This window comes from Homo sapiens, chromosome 12, assembly GCF_000001405.40.
Source record: "Homo sapiens chromosome 12, GRCh38.p14 Primary Assembly".
Taxonomy (NCBI): domain Eukaryota; kingdom Metazoa; phylum Chordata; class Mammalia; order Primates; family Hominidae; genus Homo; species Homo sapiens.
In genome coordinates, this window is record NC_000012.12 from 18,790,085 (window position 1) to 18,804,988 (window position 14,904).

Below are 14,904 nucleotides of genomic sequence, written 5' to 3' on the forward strand. Positions count from 1 at the left end.
ACCTGAGAAAAATAAGCAATGGGGAAAGGATTCCCTATTTAATAAATGGTGCTGGGGAAACTGGCTGGCCATATGTAGAAAGCTGAAACTGGATCCCTTCCTTACACCTTATACAAAAATTAATTCAAGATGGATTAAAGACTTAAACGTTAGAACTAAAACCATCAAAACCCTAGAAGAAAACCTAGGCATTACCATTCAGGACATAGGCATGGGCAAGGACTTCATGTCTAAAACACCAAAAGCAATGGCAACAAAAGCCAAAATTGACAAATGGGATCTAATTAAACTAAAGAGCTTCTGCACAGCAAAAGAAACTATCATCAGAGTGAACAGGCAACCCACAAAATGGGAGAAAATTTTCGTAACCTACTCATCTGATAAAGGGCTAATATCCAGAATCTACAATGAACTCAAACAAATTTACAAGAAAAAAACAAACAACCCCATCAAAAGGTGGGCGGAGGACATGAGTAGACACTTCTCAAAAGAAGACATTTATGCAGCCAAAAAACACATGAAAAAATGCTCATCATCACTGGCCATCAGAGAAATGCAAATCAAAACCACAATGAGATACCATCTCACACCAGTTAGAATGGTGATCATTGAAAAGTCAGGAAACAACAGGTGCTGGAGAGGATGTGGAGAAATAGGAACACTTTTACACTGTTGGTGGGACTGTAAACTAGTTCAACCATTGTGGAAGTCAGTGTGGCGATTCCTCAGGGATCTAGAACTAGAAATACCATTTGACCCAGCCATCCCATTACTGGGTATATACCCAAAGGACTATAAATCATGCTGCTATAAAGACATATGCACATGTATGTTTATTGCGGCACTATTCACAATAGCAAAGAATTGGAACCAACCCAAATGTCCGACAATGATAGACTGGATTAAGAAAATGTGGAACATATACACCATGGAATACTATGCAGCCATAAAAAATGATGAGTACATGTCCTTTGTAGGGACATGGATGAAATTGGAAATCATCATTCTCAGTAAACTATCGCAAGAACAAAAAACCAAACACCGCATGTTCTCACTCATAGGTGGGAATTGAACAATGAGAACACATGGACACAGGAAGGGGAACATCACACTCTGGGGACTGTTGTGGGGTCGGGGAAGCGGGGAGGGATAGCATTAGGAGATATACTTAATGGTAAATGACGAGTTAATGGGTGCAGCACACCAGAATGGCACATGTATACATATGTAACTAACCTGCACATTGTGCACATGTACCCTGAAACTTAAAGTATAATAATAATAAAATAAAATAATAAAAAAAAAGAAAAGCAAGAAACCCAGTGGCTTCACTGCTGAATTCTACCAAACATTTTAAGAAGAACTTATACCAATGCTACTCACACTGTTCCAAAAAATGAGGAGGAGTGAGTACTTTCAAACTCATTCTGTGAGGCCAGTATTACCCTGATATCAAAACCAGACAATGACATATCAAAAAAAGAAAACCACAGGCCAATATCACTGATAAGTATTGATGCAAAAATCCTTGACAAAATACTAGCAAACCGAATTCAAGAAAACACTTAAAAGACCATTCATCATGATCAAGTGGAATTTATTGCAGGGATTCAAGGATGGTTCAACATGTGCAAATCAATTAATGCAATACATCATATCAATAGAATAAAAGACAAAATCCATATGATCATTTTAGTTGATGCTGAAAAAGCATTTGATAAAATTCAACATCCCTTTATGATGAAAACCCTCAAAACACTGGGTGTAGAAGAAACATACCTCAACATAATAAAAGGCATATACACAGTCTCATAGCTAGTATCATATTAAATGGGAAAAACTGAAATCCTTTCCTCTAATATTGGGAACATGACAAGGATGCCCACTTTCACCACTGTTATTTAACATAGTAGTGGAATTCCTAGCTAGAGCAATAAGACAAGAGAAATAAATAAAGGGCATCCAGTTTGAAAAAGGAGAAGTCAAATTATCCCTGTTTTCAGATGATATGATCTTATACTTGGAAAAAGCTAAACATTCCATAAAAAAACTATTGGAACTGATCAAATTCAGTAAAGTTGGAGGATGCAAAATCAACATATGAAGCCACCTGCATCCCTTGGTTCATGGCCTCTCTTCACTCCAAAGCTTCTGCTTCCTTAATCACAGTTTCTTCTCTGACTCTGAACCTCCTGCCTTCCTCTTAGAAGGACCCTTGTGATTGTGTTGGGCTCACCAGAATAATCCAGGATAATCTCTTCATCTTAAGATCTTCAACTAAGTCACATCTTTAAAGACCCTTTTGCCATGTAAGGTAACAGATCCACAGGTTTGGGGGATTAGGAAACATACTGAGTGTCCCCAAATTTTCCCATCCCATTTAATATATGAGAGATACTGGGGTATGCCAGTTAGAATACTTTAGTAGAGAGGATAATATAATGATGCCAGCATAAGAAAATATGATCACAAAATCTTTAAGAAATGAGAGGAAAGAGGATTCAGAGATACTTCTTCCATTCCAGTGATACTTCATTTTAGGTGCTTGATAAATGTTTACAGATACCATAAATTCATGATACTTTGAAACTCAAGCATTTGCTTAGAAGATATCAAAAAGCAGAACTTGATATGCTACATTCACAGCATTCATTGCAATATTAGACAAAATAAAAGTTATCTAATAATTTAAAAATTAAAAATAGCACTTCAAAATCTTATTTAAGGAAGAAATAAGATATCAGAATATTTGAACAGTAAAAATATAAGTAAAACATATGAAAATTCATAAGGTATTGCCAAAGTAATATCTAAAAACAAATGTACTTTTCTGAATATATGTACTAACTGACACCACCCTAAGATTTGGGAAAGAAACAATTAGGCCAAATAAAGTTGGAAAAAAGAAATGATACAACAAAGAGCAAAAACAAGCTTGCTTGGGAAAGGGGAGACAAAAATAAGTAAAAATTGATCACCAGAAACACTAATTAACTGGTAGGAAAAGGTCAAAGCAGATGGCCTTCAATTCATTCACTCTCTTCATGGGGTGGGGGTACTATGTTCTCATAAGCCACTCCCTGGCAGAAGGCAGGTGACCTCCTCCTTGTCAACTGTACCACTGGGTAAATATACTACAGAAATTTATTAGGAAGAGGATAGCTTATTTCTGAATTGCCTTTAACAGGAAGTCTCTGGCTACAGATTACCTATAGTAAATAGAATCCAGGATCTATGGGGCATGATCCCTTGGAGAATGCCTCGTGGGCTATTCAATTCCCTTGGACTATCTCCCACTGTGGGAGATACTCCCATAACCTCAAATGCAAACCAGCCTATCCTGAGCCAGAGGAACATAGCCAACATGGAAAATACTTCTCACTGCATCTGAACCGACTGAGTGCCTGTTCCTTAACTTCATTTGGGTAATATAAGGTAAGATCTCTGATTCATGTGGGGCTGACTTTCCAATCCAATCCTGTGCATTGGTATTCTCACTATACCATTGATTCAAACTGAAGAACCAAGTAGCATTGATAACTTGTTACTATATATATATAGATAGATAGATAGATAGATAACTTGTTACTATACATATATAAATATATATAACTATATGTACTATATTTTTATTATATAGTATATTTCATATATATAACTATATATACTTTTATTATATAGTATATTTCATATATATAACTATATATACTTCATATATATACTTCATATATAGTTATATATGTGGTTATATATAGTTTTATATATAACTATATATATTCCATGGTCATAAATTCATTGCAAAGCTTTGTAAAAATTTTTTTAAATAATACATATATATACATATATAAAACTATCTAAAATTATTTAAAATGAAAAAGTACCCCACATTTCTCCATGAGGCAAAAACTGTTTTGATTGCAAAACCTAAAAGAGAAATACCAACAGTTTTACTAGGCCAACCTCAATTATAAATGATAATCATAATCATTTATAAGTTATATATATTTTATAATACTTGAATATTCAAGTATTCTAAAATGTATTCAAGTATTATAAAAACTGCCAATGATTTACCCTGGGATTTCAAATTGATGTAGCACAAAGAAAGTAATCAACATGACTCATCATATTAACAAGGGGAGAAAAAGCTAAGATATTCTAAGCTTCTCAGTAAACACCAAGAGCACATTTGACAAAAATCCAGTATCTGTTCCAAGTTTTAAATCTAAAACTAGAGTCATTGAGAATTCCTTAACTCACCTTCACAGAGTATATCTATTTCAAGTTGCATGTTAATATATTTAATACAGATTCATTGAAGTAATTCTCTAAAAAAAAAAAAAAGACAACAAATTCTCCCTTTTAGTACTTCTACTTAATATGTTAATAATCCTGGCAATTTGTATGTTAATATCATTGGAAATATTATTCAAGCAAAAAGAAAAATAGGCACACAGACATAAAAATGAAAATATAAATGAGTCATATTTGCAGATGGCATGAATATGTATCTGGAAAGCCAGAAGCAAAAAAATAATAATAATAAAATTATCACTGAAGACAATAATCCACTGAGGTCCAAACTGTAAGATGAATCCACCAAACTTAATTGCATCTCTTTATAAAATGATACCTGACTAGATTAATTGAGAAGAAGAATTAATTTCACTGATAATATAGGTCAACATATTTAAATGCTAGAATACTCATTTAATTTAGGTCATTAGGGTTTGAATTTTTTTAATAGCATAACAGACAAGACATGAATAGTTGTAGCAATATATTATATTTCTGATTGGGTATATTAAACAGTAGATGTCAGTATCTATGGTTGTTATAAATAACACATTAATGGTAAAAAACAGATAGCATTTATTACTTAGTATGAGGCAGTTATTATGGAAAGCACTCTAGTTGCCTTTTCTGCTTAATCACCAATCTTATGAGATAAATTCTATTCTAATCCTCACTCTACAGACAAGGAAATTGAGGATAAAAGAGGTTAAGTTGTTTGCGTATGATCAGTAAGTAGTAAGTGACAGAGGCTGGACTTAAATGACTACGACCTGGCTACTTAATAAAAATCAAAAAATTGGTAGGTGGAGCTTAATAAAAAGACTAGGCAAAAAGTTGTAGCACATCTTTTTCTCTAAAAAGGTAACAATGGTGAACACATTGTACCAGATTTATAAATGCCTTAAGGTGATACATATTTGTATTTTTTGAGCCTGGCTACAAATGGTATGTTGGATTAAAAATGAAAATACAGATGCAATTTGTTAAAACATAATCAAACTGTGGGTTTCTGCCAAGTATCTAAACTATTCTGGGCACTGAGCTCAATTCAGGTCCATATTGCCCAAGTTTTGTAACTGGCAGATCCCCTGGCCTCATAGATGTGACCACAGTGGAGGGCACAAATGGGGAGAGAGGGCACAACCACTCCCAGGTGTTGGTTGCTCTCTGTATCAGGACTCTGGACCCTCATCATGTGCTGGGATGGCACTGGTAGGAAGCCACAATAATCCATTTCCAAGCTGGAGCACTCTACCAAATATTCACCACCCTCCTGAATCAGTATGTTTCATTAAAATTATACTGTTCTTATTTTCTTCTGTTTTTTAGGCTTTATTTGATGGGTCTAAAAAGCTGCAGACAAAAAATAATGATACAAAAAAAGAAAACAAAAGATAGTAATAAAATTAAATAAATAAATAAAAAGTAGCGTATTCTCAGGTGCTGTATTATCCTGACTTGTGCTGATTTGCCCTAATTTTATAATGAAATTTTCTATGCTTACAGGACTCATTTCTACTTTCTTTAAATCTCTTGACTTTTAAAAATTATATTTGTTCCATAATTCTTAATAAAATATTTTTTATATGGTAATTTTTTCTTATCCAAATTTTTCTTCACAATTGTTCATCCCTCTGTTGTAGTGCTTTTACATCTTAACTTTCTAATATTAGCTTGCTTTTTATTTTTAACTTTTCTAAAAATTCAAGTTATTTATAATTATTTTATTATTGTGAAGCTTTTTTTTTTTTTTTTTTTTTACAACTTTTGGTTGTAACGTGTACTCACAACCATTTTCAATATCATGGGTTTCTAACAATGCTTGACTTTTTTCTTTTATTATTTTAATATAAATACTTTTCCACTTATTCATGAATTATTTTTTCCCCTCATGAGGTGTTTTTGTAATGCTGATGAAAGTAATAGGTGAGACAGTAAAAACAGAAAGAGTGCACTGCAAGCAGGAAAAGCCACAGCCTCTTTCCCCACTACCCCTCTCCTTCCTTGCCTCAACAAGCTGCTTCCAGTTTTCACCCTCTGTTTGCTTCTCTAGGAGGGTCCAACTATGTGGAAGCTGTCACCTTTGATGGAATTTATCTGATACCATATAACATAGGTAAGACACTTAATGTTCTGGTTAGCTACTGCAAAGTAACAAATTATTCTTACATCTTAGATGCTTCAAAAAAATAATCAACTTACAATATTTCATGATCCTCTACATGAGGACTTTGACCGGGGCCCAGTGGGTCATTCTTACAATTCTGAGGCCTTCTTAGTGAGGACTGGCAGCCAAAACACCTCCACATAGCTTCTCTAGCATGGAAGTCTCAGGGTCTTCGTAAGTCTTCCACCATGACTCAGAAATCTCAGAGAGTGATCTCAGAGATGGGAAATGAAAGCTGCTATTTTCCTAAGGCCTTGGCTAAGAAACTGTGACCTGGTTATTTCTGCCATATTCTATTGATCAAAGCAGTCACAGACCCCTCTCAGATTCAAGTGGAGGGAAAAAAAGATTTGCAGACCTCCTATTGCTGGATATGTATTTAAATAAGGGGCCCAGCTACTACACTTCAAAGTCCACATCTCCCAACCAGTGATTGAGAATTGTGCAGATTATAAGGCAGACCTATTTCTGGAAGACACAGGACTCCTTTGCCAGTCACCTTTGGCCCAAGGACTCCCCAACAGCTTTGCTGAACCTTCCTTAGATACACAACAATCTGCGGTGCCCCCACGCTTCCTTCCGTCTCTCCTGCACTGAGTTGGACTCGCCCTGCTGTCTGCTGACTCCCCAGACTTCCCTGACTTCTTTTCTATTTCCATTCACATAGGCATGGCCTCTAATAAAATCCTTGCTTATTTAATGCTATTTTGCTGTCTAATTCTTAAATTAGAATATTATACTCTACTAATATAAATTAGTATATTATACTCTACTAATATAGACTAGCATATTATACTATACTAATATAAATTAGTATATTATACTCATACTAATATAAAATTTCACCTTTCAGTGGAAGGAGAGTCAAAGAATTTGTGGCTATTTTAAGTCACACATCATTTCTTTTTCCATGCCCCACCCCTGGAACCTTCTCAAGGTGTTTGACTTCAACCAGAGTTGAAGATCCCCCATCTGCAATACTGCTGCACCCCCACCTCAAGCCCCAGCTGATTGAACCCCAGGTGGATTCCTGATTCAGGCAATCCACAGGCTGGGCTGAAGCAATCATGATGTCTCTCTAAGGAATATTAATTAAAAGCCACAGAGACCCCAGTCAGTTTTAAGGAGGTGTGCCGCCAGAAACCAGGGTCAGCACCATACCAAACCAAAGTTATGGAGGAGTAAAAACCAAAAGTCTTGCAGAAGCAGCAGATTTGGAGACAAAAAAAGCAGAACCCACATGCAGAAAGAAAAGAGAGGCACCACGTGACCCTTGAGACAAAGTGACAGACATTCCAGTGCTGCCAGACAGATTTCCAGTATCTGTGAGGTCCTGCTGTGCACCAGAGAAGAGAGTTCTGGGAAAACCCCTGCTATGGGTTGAACTGTATTCCCCAAACATTCATATGTTGGAGCCTTAACCTCCAGGACCTTAGAATGGGACCTTACTTGGAAATAGAGTCATTGCAGATGTAATTAGTTAAGCTGAGTTCCTACTGGAGTAGGGTGGGCCCCTAATCCAATATATTGTTGTCCTTATAAAAAGGGGAAGTCTGGAGAATAGTTATCCTTCCAAGATAAACTATTTGCCAAATATGTAACAGAGTAACCAGCCATTTCCATATGGGATTTCTAGTCATTTCCCAGTTAAAAATTAAGGAATAGGTACACGCAGTAAGAGCACTCAGTGAAGATGAGGGCAGAGATCAAGATGCCACATCTACAAACCAAGGAACACCAAAGATTGCCAGAAACTATCAGAAGCTAGGGGAAAGGCATGGAACAGTTACTTCTTCACAGCCGTCAGAAGGAACCAACCCTGTTGACACCCGGACCTCAGACGTGAAGCCTCCAGAACCGTGAGATACAAAATTCCTGTTGTTTAAGCCACTCAGTTTGTGGTACTTTGTTATGGCAGCTCTGGAAAATGAATATGACCCCTATAACTGCATTTCCATGTGAGCTCATTTAAGTGGGTGTCTGTTCCTTGAAGAAGAAAAATGATATGAATCAAAACATCCCACCTAAACTGCCTTTGCTCTGAGCAGAGGGAACACCCTCTGGCAGAGCCAGGGTTCTTCTCAGAAAATTATTCCCAGTCTCCTCCAGGACTAAGATAAATGAATGAGCAAAGTTTAAAAGTTCTCTTCTAAAGAACATGGTCAAAATAGTTTTAGCCTGTAAAATTTGAAGGCAGATAAAACCAGAATTCAGCCTTGGCAGAATAAACTCTCAATAAAGTAACCTCAGATCCTTAGCTCCGAACACCACTTTTTTTTTTCCTGTATTCCTTCCAAGATAAACTATTAGCCAGATATGTAACAGAGTAACCAGTCATTTTTATATGGGATTGTTATTCATTGCCCAGTTGAAAATTAAAGAATCAGTACAAAAAAAAAAAAAACAAAACACTTTTGTTCTAGGAAAGAGAATCAGATATCCTTTTTTAGCAATAATTAACTAGCAAGGTCGTGCTGTCACCACGGTTTTTAAAATACCCTTTTGTCTTTCATGGCAAGTGTATGCATCTAGACCATCTGAAAGTGGCTCTAGAACATGAAAATATAAATGTAAAACAAGAAAGGGGCAGGAAAAGAATGAGGAGCAGGCAAAACATAACCACGTGTTGGCTATTTCTAACTCCCTGGTCCAGGAGTACTCATTAATCACTCTAATCCCACAGAAGTATAATGATTCTGAATATCTACATATGCCACAAATTATCTAATACTGTTCCTGATTTACTAGGTGTGGAGTGGCCATATATAAAACCTGACTGTTACTCACATAAAATATTGGCCTGAAACTCTCAGACTTCGAAGCAAGTAGCAGATTTGGATGGAATACACCACAAATTAATAAAGCCATAATCTAGAGAAGGTAATAAATTGACTTTTTAAATATGAGATACTCTAAACTCTGGCTTCAGTGGGGAAGAGTTTTTTTTTTTTACTTCAAGTTATGCTGATTTAATTACAAAATAAGCTTTTCCAAGGCACTGGCCTTTGTAATGAAGGTAAATATTACATGTTTGCTAAAAAACAGGGTTTTATAAAACTCCTCACCTCATATAAACAATTGTAAGTCTTTTGTTTTTTCCAGAAAAAAAAAAACTTTCACTAAGTATTAGTCACTCATATATCTATAAATCTCAGAGGAATTTCCCCAAGCACTCTGGCTTCCCAAGTAGGAGATTGTTTCTCCTAGTTCAAGTCTCATTTCACTGTTAGGCTGGCTGTTATTTCATGGTGACTTGCCATGTTAATAGTATGTCTTCTAATCCACGAATGTGATATAGCTCTCCAACTTATTTGAGTCCTCTTCAGTTTTACTCAACAGTGTTTTGTAGTTTTCTGTGTATAGGTTTTGGAAATCCATAATTAAATTTATCCTTGGGTATTCTATGGTTCTTTGTTATTATGAATTGTATTTTTTATCTCATTTCCCAATTGTTTTGCTGGTATACAGAAATATAATTTATTTACCTATATGGACCTGGAAAATTACAGCTTTGTTAATTAAATTCAACTAGTTATATTAGTTGTTTTGCAGATTCCTTAGGATTTCTACATTTTAAAAATAAAGTCATCTAAGAATAAATAATTTTTATTCTTTCCAACTTTGAATGCTTAATTTCCTTTTTGTATTGTATTGCCCTGGTTAAGCCTTTCAGTACAATGTGGAATAGAAGTAGTTAGCACCGAGATCCTTTCCTTGTTCTTCATCTTAGATGAACAGCATTCAGTCTTTTGCAATTCAATAGGATGTTAGCGCGTAGGATTTCTACGAGTAGCCCACTGATCTTTTTAGAATAATGAGATCCGGTCACTCCTTTGCCCAGTTCTCCAGTGGTTTCCCAAATCATTTAAAATAATTTCATAAATCCTTAAAGTGACCTACATAATCTGGTTTTCTATAATCTCTCTGAATTCAGATTCTCCCCTCCTCCCCATCGCCAGTCACCACATTGGGTGTTTTGCATGGGGCACTACACACAGGCCCCATCTCAGTACTTTGGCCCTTCTTGTTCCCGCTCCCTGAAGTGCTTCTTTTACCCTAGACAGCCACAGAGGTCACTCTTTCTTGTCTCTGCTATTTTTTCTTTTTTTTTTTTTTTGAGGCGGAGTCTCACTCTGTCGTCCAGGCTGGAGTGCAGTAGTGCAATCTTGGCTCACTGCAAGCTCCGCCTCCCGGGTTCACGCCATTCTCCTGCCTCAGCCTCCGGAGTTGCTGGGACTACAGGCGCCCGCCACTAAGCCCGGCTAATTTTTTTTTTTGTATTTTTAGTAGAGACGGGGTTTCACCATGTTAGCCAGGATGGTCTCGATCTCCTGACCTCGTGAGCCGCCTGCCTCGGCCTCCCAAAGTGCTGGGATTATAGGCGTGAGCCACCACGCCCAGCCTCTCCGCTGTTTCTAAGATACAGAAATTTCACCATATTAGCTTTCTTGACCACTTTATATAAAATAGGAACCCCTTCCCTAGCTTGCCTAAGTATTTCTATCTCCCTTATACTGTTTATTTTTCTTCAAAGAACTTATTGCCATCTGACATATTATATACTTCTTTCTATATTTATTTACATGTCCTTTCCCACTATCATGTAAGATCATTGAGTGTGGGGAATTTTTCTATGAGAAAATGGGGCATATAGTTAGTGTTTTAGAAGTATTGAATGGAAAAAAAAAAAAATATATATATATATATATATATATATAAAATTTATGTTTGGGTATAAATGACACTCTCCCTGCTAGTTGCTATACTGATAGGGATAATGGGAAGCAAAATCATTACTGTCATCATCCACATAATCCAGAAATACTACAATCTTAAGTAATTTAAATCATACTATAATCTTCTTAGTATTATAGTATGAGTATTGGGTTTTGGCAATTAAAGTAGGGAATGAGGCCAGATTCTGGGATATAACTACCAATGGCATGATTGTCATAACTGAGTCCATGGAAGACATCTCATTTAACATCATTTTAAAATTTCCTTTCAGTAGGGACAGGGTCTCACTATGTTGCCCAGGCTGGTCTTGAACTCCTGAGCTCAAGCAGTCCTCCTGCCTCAGCCTTCCAAAGTTCTGGAATTACAGGTATAAGCCACCACACCAAGCCCCTATTGCCATCTTGGAGACCCATTTTTCTCCATAATTCAAGAAATACTGCTGTGAACTTCATCAACCCCACATCTCTTTCTAATTGACCATTGACTATGATTTTTTAATTTTAATTGGACACAAGGTCTTCCTCTGTTGCCCAGGCTGCAGTGCAGTGGTGAGATCATAGCTCACTGCAGCCTTGAATTTCTAGGCTCAAGTGATCCTTCTGCCTCTGCCTCCTGAATGGCTGGGACTACAGGTGCGCAACACGACACCTGGCTATTTTTTTTAAATTTTTTGTAGAGATGGGGTCTCACTATGTTGCCCAGGCTGGTCTCGAACACTAGGCCTCAAGGTATACTCCTGCCTTGGCCTCTCAAAGTGCTGAGATTATAGGCATAAGCCATCTTGCCTGGCCGACAATGGTTTCTTAAAGCACTGTTGATTGTAAAACTTATATTAAATAAAGACTCTCGCTCCGCAGAACTGTGTATGGCCCACTCTGGCAAATACTTGACAATTGTTTACCCTTATGAATTCTTGAATTCAGGCCCCAACTAGACCCATCTGGAGTATCTGTTATCTTATTTTTTATAAGGTGATCTGTTTTCCAATATTATAATGCTCCTAGTTCATCAGTTCATTGGAGGTGACTTCTAAGTTCTGTTACTGATCTGTAGGGAATGTTATGAAGACTCTCAAAATCTTAAAAATAGATGAACTAATGTTACTCCTGAAGGAATAGTTGCAAAAGGGATCTGTCAGCAATGGAAGCAGAGAAAAAGGAAGGTTACAAGAGTTAACATTACACCCCTACAAAAGAAATCCCCAGCTTAGTGACTGGATCGGCTTTGTTCCATAGTTGTGTATAACCCATTTATTGTGGAAATTAATGCATGAAACAATCTTAGACTGATATAACAAAATATTGAATGCACGTTATTAAAACTTTCTGATTATAATGGTGTGCAGGACAGAATAAACTACCCAGAGAATGAAAGTGGTCTTGTCAACTGTTTCTCTCTTCCTTTCATATTTTTATTATACATTTACAGGATTTTACTGTCATGCCATATCAGGGGAGTCAAGTCTAGACAAAGATAACCTATATTCCCAAATGAACATTCTGAACAAGATTTATATAAGATATAGAAAAGCTCTTATTTTATTGCAATACGGCCAGCTTTATAGTAGGTCTTAGGAGCTGATAAAAAATGTGACTTTGGGTCAGGAGCAGCGGCTCACTCCTGTAATTTCAGCACTTTGGGAGGTTGAGGCAGGTGGATCACGTGAGCCCAGGAGTTCAAGATCAGCCTGGGCAACATAGTGAGACTCCGTCACTACAAAAAATACAAAAATTAGCTGGGCATGGTGATGCACATCTGTAATCCCAGCTACTCAGGAAGTTAAGGCAGGAGAATTGCTTGAACCCGGGAGGTGGAGGCTGCGGTGAGCCAATATTTCACCACTGTCCTCCAGCCTGGGTGCCAGAGCGAGACTCTGTCTCAAAGAAAAAAAAAAAAAAGTGACTTCATGTCATGTGTAGTTCATATAAATAAGTTCAATTTATAAGCTCTTTTCCCTGGAAAGTGGTGATCCACTTAAGAATCCATGGTCACAATTTTGGTACTGGCTACTGAGTGGCTAAAGTCTCAGAGAAGAAGGCCCTTTTTAAAGCAAGACTTAGCAATCAGTGCACATGCACGTGTTGAAAGTACTTGACATAGTCTTTATTTAAAACGTTTTATTTAAAACAACCATTTACTAATTGCTCTTGATTGTCAGCCTCTGCAGCTGGATTACTTTTCCCAATCTGCATGGTATATCATCTCACAAGAAAGGACTGTGATTTTGTTTCATCTGCTGATGACATCAATAAAATGCATAGTAAATCACCACTACTATGTTGTTTCAAGAAAGTATAGTGTGTTCACTAGAAACCATATCATGCCCTGTATTATTTTTTATTTTCTTGACTAATTAAATTAGGAAATATCCATGTTTTATTGACTGTAGAATTTAATATATAATATAATAATCATGATGAGTAGCCCCAAACTGAAAACAACACTGAGACATGCCACCCTCATTCCACAGTGATTTTTAAAAATATTTTCTACTTAGATGTATGTAAATAATAGGTACCAGCATGATACTGAGACCATCCTGAGAGAACAGACCCACACATTCCTTCAGGAGAAAATGTATCTGAGAAAACTGAAACATCTCCTAATCATAAAACAGTTCTTAACTAGCTCTAGGCTCTAATTTTAATGCAAACTATAAACTTTAGTCACTTACTCATGTATGATTGAAGATTTATCTTTTGCTGATTTTATTTTAACAGAAATAATCCTCATAAAGAATGAAGAGGCAGCCAAAAAGAGCCTTAAAGGAGAATTTCAAAATAGATATCTTGGTAGCAGGAAGGAAAATATAATTTATGGGTAAACATCTTTTGAACATTTCTATATAATCAAACTTTAGTAGGAAAAGCAATGTCCAATAATAACTGAATTGACTATTGAACATTATTTCTCTAAATGCAAAATAAATATAGAAGTATTCTTTCTCCATCATAGAAACTGACTTAGCTTTTCTATTTTTATTCATATATTTATATTCACCTCCCATTATTTTGTTCTACAAAGAAGTTGAGGCACATGATGAAGCTGCTGTATATGATATGATTACAAAAACTAAGGTACTTCAGGAACTATCATTGATAAAGTTTATGATTATTAAACAAAATAAATCTAGCAATGTTGAGCATATCAAAGTTAAATTAAGTTCAAGTTATACTCTTATGCCTGAGAATACAATGGATAAAGACCAGTATCTCAGGTTCTAGTTCTTAAGTTAGAGAACATAAGATACTGGTCTTTATCCAGCCAAAAGATATAATTAACTCTTAGCATATATACTTTTCAGTCATTAAGTTCATGAAAAAGACTTCATTTGATTTTAAAACTTCATAATTAGATTAACTCTATCATCAGATATGTCTTTGATTATTCTCATTTACATGAATTTGCTCTCACCTATCATGGTATAGATTTATCCTATGTGCTACTTTATCCTTTGTGCTCTGTTGAGGTTTCACAAATCAGTTCATATCACCTAAATTGATCAATCTGAATTTGATTATAGACCTAAGGTAAGGCAACACACCTATAGAATACTGTTTTAATCCATACGGCCATACATTTATTGTAGCAGCTATTTAGTTTATACTAATGAAAAACCTCTAAGCCTAATAAATTATAAATATCTTAAATTTGGGCACTTGAAACAGAATGAGAATCTTAATTTAACCTCATTTTGTGTTCAT

The 14,904-nt window shown here is 36.0% G+C and overlaps 1 long non-coding RNA gene across 3 annotated transcripts in view; it reads left to right on the top strand.

Moving 5' to 3' along the window:
* Positions 1-14,904, top strand: part of LOC102724227 (uncharacterized) — a 64,172-nt gene that overhangs the window by 36,925 nt on the left and 12,343 nt on the right. The window contains exons 3-4 of one of the 3 annotated variants that reach the window (XR_001749032.2): positions 6,350-6,412; positions 7,317-9,343. This is a non-coding gene — a long non-coding RNA (uncharacterized LOC102724227). Of the gene's footprint in view, positions 1-6,349; positions 6,413-7,316; positions 10,067-14,904 lie in introns of those variants that run through there. The other 2 variants (XR_429054.4, XR_931403.3) reach the window with 2 other exon arrangements.